Below are 9,988 nucleotides of genomic sequence, written 5' to 3' on the forward strand. Positions count from 1 at the left end.
TTATAAACAAAAAAAGGAAAGTGATGTACAGAAAGCAGACATGAGTTACAGGAACAGCTGGATTGGTTACAGCTTGGCATTTGCTTTATTTGAACACAGTTGAACAGTCAGCAGCATATGAGTGGTTCAAGTATGGCTGCTGGATTTGGCTGAGACTCAGCAGTTGTTACAGAAGCATACTCCTAAATTAAGTTTTCAGTCTTGTCTACCTACTAGTTAAGTTATGGTTTGTTCTCAAGGACTCAAATATGGAAGTACAGAAGCTTTTGCAGGCCATATTTAGTTTGATTTAACAGGTTGAAGTTCTCATGAATGGCTTAGTACCATCCCCTCCTTGGTATTGTATAGTGAGTGAGTTCTCACAAGATCTGATTGTTTTAGAGTATGTAGCACCTTTCCCCTCTCTCTCTTCCTCCTACTCTGGCCATTTAAAATGTGCCTGCCTCCCTTTTACCTTCTGCCATTATTGTAAGCTTCCTGAAGCCTCCCCAGAAGCAGGAGCTACTATGATTCCTGTACAGACTGCAGAACCATGAGTTAATTAAACCTCTTTTCTTTATAAATTACTCAGTCTCAGGTATTTCTTTATAGTAGTGCAAGAACTGATTAATACAGAAAATTGGTACTGAGAAGTGGGGAACTGCTGTAAAGATACTTGAAAATGTGGAAGCAGCTTTGGAACTGAGTAACAGACAAAGATTGGTATAGTGTGGAGGGCTCAGAAGAAGGTGGGAAAATGGAAAATAACTTTGGAACTTTATAGAGACTTGTAAAGTTCTTGTGACCAAAATGCTGATAGTGATATGGATAATGAAGTCCAGGCTGAGGAAGTCTCAGATGGAAATGAGGAACTAATTAGGAACTGGAGCAAAGGTCACTGTTGTTATACATTAGCAAAGAGGTTGGCTGCATTGTGCCCCTGCCCTGGGGACTTGTGGAAGTTTGAAGTTGAGAATGATTACTGAAGTTATCTGGTGGAAGAAATTTCCAAGCAGCAAAGTGTTCAAGATTTGGCCTGGCTGATTCTAACCATCTATTCCCATTGTGTGAGCAAAGAGATGATCTAAAACTGGAACTTATATTTAAAGGGGAAGCAGAGCATAATAGTTTGGAAAATTTGCAGTCTGGTCATATAGTAGAAAAAGGAAAGCCCATTTTCAGGGGAGGAATTCAAGCAGATTGCAGAAATTTACATAACTAAAAGGAAGGCAAGTGCTGATATCCAAGACAATGGAGAGAAAACCTTGAAGGCATTTCAGAAACCTTTGTGGCAGCCCTTCCCATCACAGGCTTGGAGGCCTGGGAGGACAGAATGGTATCATTGGCCACACTCAGGGCCCAACTGCCCTGTGCAGCTTTGGGACACTGCTCCCTGAATCCCACCAGTTCCAGCTCCTGCTCCAGCCATGGCTAAAAGGGGCCCAAATACAGCTTGCATGTATAGGCATGAGCCACTGCGCCCAGCCCACCCTCATCCCCCTTTTAACTATACAGCATCTCCTGCTTGGCACTAAGTAATTGGCAACTTTATTTTGTCCATTTGTCTTCTGATTATCTTTTCTTTTCTCAACTTGCTTGCAAGGTCTTTAAGGACAGAAACTACATCTCTTTCGGCTCTCCACTGTACTTATAAAACCCAGGAGAGGGCATATACTGAGAACCAGAAGAGAGTATTAATGAATGAATATAATGAATTAAATAATTAGACAGAAAAAAAGAAAGGCAGCAGATAGAACAGATTGGACTCTTTTGCAATTCTTCAGATGTGAGGTGGTTGCAGATAATACACAGGTGTGGAACACAGAATGTATTTTACAGCACCTTCTGTAACGTGTTATAGATGTTGAACTGGAAAATAAACTTTTAATGATATATTGATGAAAAATTTTGATTCCATATAATTTATAGCAATTTTAAGGTCAGTGACCTTTTCAAATATTTTTAAGATAGCTTAAACTAAAAACCTTTAGATAAAGAAGAATGCAATATTATAAAAACATGAAATAATTATTTTCATATACTTATATATGGCATCACTTGTAAGAGAGAAGAAATTGATGCATATTAACCTCAAAGATCAGGAAAAGGAGATTTATTTAGGCTTTGATTATCAGAATGAAATCCATTCTGACTGACTCTTAGTGGCTGTAGATAACTTATCTATCTGGATGAGGTGCAAGAAAAAAGCCTCTCATCTCAGGCAATTTAATCAGATCTTAGGATCATTATCAGATATAATACTTCAAGGATCTCTGGAATGACAAAAATAATCAGCACTGACAAGCAATTCCCTAGAGGTCCATGGTGTGAACTGATAATAAATGCAAAGACAGGCTACCATGATAAGTAAAAATTAAGTCCTAAGCTTTATTGGTGAACAATTTGTTGAGGGAGAGGTCAGCTAATCTTTGACACAATCCAGACTTCTTTTTAACTTAAAATAAGAGGCCAAATTAATTTTAAACAACCCAAATCAATCTGTCTCTATGGTTTTAGATTTTCATTATCAAAACCTCTAAAATTAGTTGTCCTAAACTAGACATTAACCTTAGTGCCCCAGCTACACATAGAATACTTGAAAACCAACATTAGGTAATGAAAAATACAGACTGAAATGTGACAATTACAGTCACCAACTTGTAATTTGCTTATTATTTTCAGAAAAAACTGAGATGAAGAAGATATAATTATCCATATAGGGAGAAAAATATGCCCTGGAGAAATTGTAGTACTATTATCCTGTTATCTGATCTATGCTAAAGCCATCTGGTGGGCTTACAGGTTAAAGACTACTCATTTCTCATTTACAACACCAGCTACAACAAATTTAAAGAGCACATTTTTTGGTCACATGATGGAGAATGAATAGGTAGATGCTACCAGGCATGGCTGGTGGAGGAAGACCCTTCCATCTTCATTTAAAAAGTGCATGTTTAATTAGGGCTTCAATTTGGCACAGACTCAGATTAATCATGTGACATTAGGCATGATAGAATATGCTTCCAAATCCAAAAATGTGCTTTGATATACCATTTCATCAGTGACTGTCATAATATCATTATTTTACAAATATAGAAAATGATACTGTGGGAATTCAAGTACATTTGGAAAGTACTGTTAGTAAAAAGAACTTCAGTTTTGCTCAAGAGAAATTAATTTTTTCTAAAACTCATGGGCCCCCATTATCTTTTCTGGTTAATGCTATCTTGTTATGATATAAGTCATATTAATCTCCATCTATCTTTATTTAAGTTTTACTTGGCCAGGCTGATGAGATGACAGGTCATCTTGTAGATGTGTCAGTGTTACAACACACTGAAAACTATGAAATAAGATGAGCATTAACACTGAGCTAATTCTCTACTCAGCAAGTAGAAAATGTCCATTTCCATGAAAACTGATTGTGAAAAATGAGAATAGTCAGTTAAGGATCTAGACATAGCTAGTGGACAGAATCTGACATGCACTCTTGACTCAGTCTCAGTTTCATTTTCCCTGCATGAATAGGATCTGTATTTGAGAATGATAACAAACATTTTGTATAAACCTGAGAAATTATATATATATTTGTATGTGTAGGTATGTATACATATATGTATGTATATGCGCATATACATACATATATGTATATACATATATATGTGCATGTGTGTATATGCATATATATACATTTTTAAAAATTAGATGTTTCATAATTACTCTCATTTTTTTTTCTGTAAGTCTCTTTTATTCCTATTTGATTTGGAAGGTGAAAATTTTAGACCCATGTCCAAGTCTCTATCTTCTCATTATTTGTCATTTAAAGTACACTTCTTAGTATTTAGGTCTGTCTTCATTATTATGACATGAGTATAACCATATTGTACTACGTGCTTTAAATATACTATGGCATTTAATTTTTTTTTTTTTTTTGGAGACAGAGTTTTGCTCTTGTTGCCCAGGCTGGAGTACAATGGTGCAATCTCAGCTCACTGCAACCTCTGCCTCCCGGGTTCAAGTGATTCTTTGTGCCTCAGCCTCCCAAGTAGCTGTGATTACAGGCACCTGCCACCACGCCCAGCTAATTTTTTATATTTTTGGTAGAGACGGGGTTTCACCCATGTTGGCTAGGCTGGTCTTGAACTCCTAACCTCAGGTGATAGCATTTAATTTTTATAAGAACTTGCCCAAGGTGTCACAGCTATGAAATGCTAGAGACAGGGTTGGAATCCAGGTGTCTCTCCACAGCCCATATTCTTAATCTTTATTTTGCTTCCAGGTGGTTGAGCACTGTAGCCATGCTTCTCTAACTTTAGTGGGATTATGAATCATTGGGCATCTTGTTAAAATGCAGATTCTGATTCAGCAAGTCTGGAGAGGGGTCTGAGAGTCTGCCTTTTTAACCAATTCTCAAGTGATACTGATGGTGCTAGTTTGTGGAACACACATTGAGTAGCAAGATATTATATCACTCTGAACCTAGAGAAGATTACCTCTTTTTGTTTGTTTTCTTTTTTAGCTGCATGCCAGGTTATACATGGTAATATTCATCATACTGTATCATCAAGCAATCTCTAGGTAAGCAGTGCCCTAGAGAAGTGAGAATCAGCTCTACCACCGTTTTCCCATGGGTGCTTGTCATTTGATTTCTCTGAGTCAGCTTCTTATTGAAACAGAAAAATGAGTAGGTTAGACTAAATCATTGTTATCATCATTATTACCATCATCATCATCATCATGACCATCATCATCATCTAAAGTTTATTGAGTGCTTATGATAAGCTCGGAACCTCTTAAAAGCCTTATTATAAGCTCAGAGCTGTTGCTTTACATTGATTCTATCGTTTAATCCTCAAAATCATTTTATAAAGTAAATTGAGACATTACAAAGGTTAAGTAAATTTCAATATATGCCTATGATTCTAAATGATGCTGTTATCTTAAAGAATTCCATGTTGTAGGTTGCCTGTTCACTCTGATGGTAGTTTCTTTTGCTGTGCAGAAGCTCTTTAGTTTAATTAGATCCCATTTGTCAATTTTGGCTTTTGTTGCCATTGCTTTTGGTGTTTTGGACATGAAGTTCTTGCCCACACCTATGTCCTGAATGGTAATCCCTAGGTTTTCTTCTAGGGTTTTTATGGTTTTAGGTCTAACGTTTAAATCTTTAATCCATCTTGAATTGATTTTTGTATAAGGTGTAAGGAAGGGATCCAGTTTCAGCTTTCTACATATGGCTAGCCAGTTTTCCCAGCACCATTTATTAAATAGGGAATCCTTTCCCCATTGCTTGTTTTTCTCAGGTTTGTCAAAGATCAGATAGTTGTAGATATGCGGCGTTATTTCTGAGGGCTCTGTTCTGTTCCATTGATCTATATCTTTGTTTTGGTACCAGTACCATGCTGTTTTGGTTACTGTAGCCTTGTAGTATAGTTTGAAGTCAGGTAGTGTGATGCCTCCAGCTTTGTTCTTTTGGCTTAGGATTGACTTGGCGATGTGGGCTCTTTTTTGGTTCCATATGAACTTTAAAGTAGTTTTTTCCAATTCTGTGAAGAAAGTCATTGGTAGCTTGATGGGGATGGCATTGAATCTGTAAATTACCTTGGGTAGTATGGCCATTTTCACGATATTGATTCTTCCTACCCATGAGTATGGAATGTTCTTCCATTTGTTTGTATCCTCTTTTATTTCCTTGAGCAGTAGTTTGTAGTTCTCCTTGAAGAGGTCCTTCACATCCCTTGTAAGTTGGATTCCTAGGTATTTTATTCTCTTTGAAGCAATTGTGAATGGGAGTTCACTCATGATTTGGCTCTCTGTTTGTCTGTTGTTGGTGTATAAGAATGCTTGTGATTTTTGTACATTGATTTTGTATCCTGAGACTTTGCTGAAGTTGCTTATCAGCTTAAGGAGATTTTGGGCTGAGAAGATGGGGTTTTCTAGATAAACAATCATGTCGTCTGCAAACAGGGACAATTTGACTTCCTCTTTTCCTAATTGAATACCATTTATTTCCTTCTCCTGCCTGATTGCCCTGGCCAGAACTTCCAACACTATGTTGAATAGGGGCAGTGAGAGAGGGCATCCCTGTGCAACCTACTCATCTGACAAAGGGCTAATATCCAGAATCTACAATGAACTCAAACAAATTTACAAGAAAAAAACAAACAACCCCATCAAAAAGTGGGCGAAGGACATGAACAGACACTTCTCAAAAGAAGACATTTATGCAGCCAAAAAACACATGAAAAAATGCTCATCATCACTGGCCATCAGAGAAATGCAAATCAAAACCACTATGAGATATCATCTCACACCAGTTAGAATGGCAATCATTAAAAAGTCAGGAAACAACAGGTGCTGGAGAGGATGTGGAGAAATAGGAACACTTTTACACTATTGGTGGGACTGTAAACTAGTCCAACCATTGTGGAAGTCAGTGTGGTGATTCCTCAGGGATCTAGAACTAGAGATACCATTTGACCCAGCCATCCCATTACTGGGTATATACCCAAAGGACTATAAATCATGCTGCTATAAAGGCACATGCACACGTATGTTTATTGCGGTATTATTCACAATAGCAAAGACTTGGAACCAACCCAAATGTCCAACAATGATGGACTGGATTAAGAAAATGTGGCACATATACACCATGGAATACTATGCAGCCATAAAAAATGATGAGTTCATGTCCTTTGTAGGGACATGGATGAGATTGGAAATCATCATTCTCAGTAAACTATCGCAAGAACAAAAAACCAGACACCGCATATTCTCACTCATAGGTGGGAACTGAACAGTGAGAACACATGGACACAGGAAGGGGAACATCATACTCTGGGGACTGTTGTGGGGTTGGGGGAGGGGGGAGGGATAGCATTGGGAGATATACCTAATGCTAGATGATGAGTTAGTGGGTGCAGCGCACCAGCGTGGCACATGTATATATATGTAACTAACCTGCACATTGTACACATGTACCCTAAAACTTAAAGTATAATAATAATAAATAAATTTAAAAAAAAAAAAAGAATTCCATATGCCTGAAATAACTAAGTAGAATTTATAGTTATAAGTGTAGAATTGTATAGAAACAATTGTCAGGCTTTAGATATCAGATAAGTTATAGAAGATACATGTCCAATCATTTACAAATTCTTTGAACCTCAGTGTCCTTATTTGTAGAGAAAAGAGAACATTATCTACTCTAAAGTATATTTGTGAGAATTAGAAGGATAGTTCATGCAAAGAATCTAGTGATTTGTCTGATGGAGACTCAAATAACAGTCACTGTCATAGTTAGTTTAGAGAGAAAACTAAAATATTATGGTGGCCTGAGGCCTTATTTCATTGGGTAAATGAAGAAGCAATGAGCTTTATGTGGCTCTTTGTCAACTTTTTTTCCTCAACATCTGATACAAAATATTAGGATCTTGGCTATTAGATCTCCTATAGAATTACAGCCCTGTCTTTTATGAGTTCCCATTTTGAGGTTATAAAAGCATAAGTGACATGTTTTCTTAGTACCTTTATAATTTTCAGTTACTATTTTTATCTAAACTATCCAAGTTTCCACCTTAATTTTTTAAGAAAATTGTTTAATTTTAATTGAATCACAATAATAGAAATACAACCATTACCAAGATTAAAGTGGAACTGTGACGTGATCTTTTTGAGAGTAAATTATGGCATTACTTGGCTAAATGGATCATTGACTTTGGGTATTAAAGTGATCTATTTGTTTAAACGTATTAAAACTTAACTAAAATAGCCACACGTGCCATTAACAGGTACTTAGAGCCTTGGTTTTTGATATTTGAAAACACCATACTTCCACACTGTTTGCTAACGAAGTTCATTGAAAGATTCCAAAGTATTTTTGTGGCAGGAAATAATCATTTCATCTATTCCTGCTCTCATTCACCCGACAATTACTGAGCACCTATGGAAAGCTAGATCCCTGTCGAGGGTATTGAAAAGAAAGATGAATGAGATGTTGTGCAAGACCCAGGAAGCTCACTTTATTAGTCTATCAGGTAGCTATATTCATGGAAGACTAGAATATAACTTGTGTCGTAAGAGATGTCATATTACAATGCCAAGAGGCAGGTTGTCTGCAGGCATTGCATACTCATCTTCATCAGCATAAAACAAAGTTGAAACTGTGTGCTCATGACATAAACAAAGCTCCAAGATGGGTCCCCTTGCCTGCCCCCACTATCCTTCCCTTGCAAATGGATTCTTCCTCTGAGTCTCCCATGCAGAAATTTTGAGATCACCTGAAGAAGTAACATTATATAGAAAGTTATTCTATTCTTCTCTCTGAGCCTTGGGAGGTGAGCTCATATCTAAACTGAGATTTAAAGGCCAAATGAAGATTTTTCTGGCAAAGAATTGGGTGTACGGCATTCCACACAGGAGAAAGGACAAAAATTTTAAGCCAGGCAACACCGCCAATCATCATAATGTGCTTGGAGAGTTTCCTTCTCCTCAGTTTTCTTTCCTACAATATAGAAACAATCATTCCCATGTCTTTACAATCCTGTGCAGGTTGCATGCTTGAAAAATTAAGTGTGCTCAACAAATGTTACTTCTCATATTCTTTCCTGTGCTGGAAGAATGGCATATGCAAGTGTATGTGTATGTGGGCAGGAAAAGAAATGATGTATGAAGAGAATGGTGGCATGTGTGATGGGGGAGAGGAGGAAGAAAAGAAAAGAAAGTAGGTGTGGTGGGGAGAGGATAAAGCAGGAGCGATGATGGCTGAGATGGCATCCTGATGTTAAAGTAGAAACATGCCATGCAAAGGTTTTTACGCCACCCTAAGAAGTTTGTATCTATCTCATTCACACGAAGAAAGAGTGGAAATTGTTTCTATATATTTTTATTTATTTATTTATTTATTTATTTAATTATTTATTTATTTATTTATTTGAGATGGAGTCTCACTCTGTCACCCAGGCTGAAGTGCAGTGGCACGATTTTGGCTCACTGCAACCTCCACTCCCTGGGTTCAAGCGATTCTCCTGCCTCAGCCTCCCGAGTAGCTGGGATTACAGGCACCTGCCACTGCGCCTGGCTAATTTTTGTATTTTTAGTAGAGACAGGGTTTCACCATCTTGGCTGGTCTTGAACTCCTGACCTCGTGATCCACCCACCTCGGCCTCCCAAAGTGCTGGGATTACAGGCATGAGCCACCGCGCCTGGCTTGTTTATATATTTTTAAAAGCAGAACAATTAGACAGATGTACAAACAGATAAATCTTAGCACGAGCAGGAAGAATAAATGGAACTGGGAGTATGGGAATCAGGGAGACCAACTGAAGCTTCCTAAGCCAGTTTATGAAAGAAAGGATGAGAATTAGTTACTAAGTAAATAGAAAGGAGAAGAGAATAAATGGGAAGACACTTGGAAATCTTGTCTGGTAAGTGAATTGGTACGTCTGTGGTCCATTGACCATGGGAGTGGCAGGGAAGTAAGAGAGATATAGGCATTTGGGAAAGACCATAGGGGCTGAGTTGGTGGTGATGCCAAAACTTTCCTGTTTTTGTTATCAAAAGCACTCTCACATTCAGCCTATTTCATCTTGGGGTATTGTTCATGATATGAACAGCAGAAAACAATTAGGTTCTTCTTGGTCTTTTACCTGACTTGCAGTTCTTCTTGGAATTGACTAGGGATGGAAGAAGAAGAGTGCATGGCTGAAAAAGGTTCAGATGAGGATGTCTCACTTCTTCCTATTTCCATTCTGCCACCCTGCCTATTTACTGATTTCCCTGCTACCTCTGGTGGAAGGTGGGAGAGGCTGTGCTTCAGCAGGCTGTAAGTGGTGCTGGGGCATGCCTGCCTTGTGTGACTGACTGTGGGAGAGTAATTGTCCGCTTGCAGCAGAGATGAAGCAATTCTTTAGTTCTTTCAAGAATGTGTAAGAAAGTCAGGAAAAGCTTGTTCTCTCCACAGGGGAGAACTGGGAATATGTTTTTTATTTTTTTCTGTCTTGCAGTTTTAGAA

At 37.9% G+C, this 9,988-nt stretch overlaps 1 annotated feature.

Annotated features, from left to right (window-relative positions):
* Nucleotides 933-1,504: an enhancer, noted in NCBI's record as "NANOG hESC enhancer chr2:226182976-226183547 (GRCh37/hg19 assembly coordinates)". NCBI's record gives its function as "activates a minimal SCP1, AML or CMV promoter by ChIP-STARR-seq in primed H9 embryonic stem cells {active_cell/tissue: H9 hESC(primed)}" and the evidence as "EXISTENCE:reporter gene assay evidence [ECO:0000049][PMID:30033119]".

This window comes from Homo sapiens, chromosome 2 (genome assembly GCF_000001405.40).
Source record: "Homo sapiens chromosome 2, GRCh38.p14 Primary Assembly".
Lineage (NCBI taxonomy): Eukaryota > Metazoa > Chordata > Mammalia > Primates > Hominidae > Homo > Homo sapiens.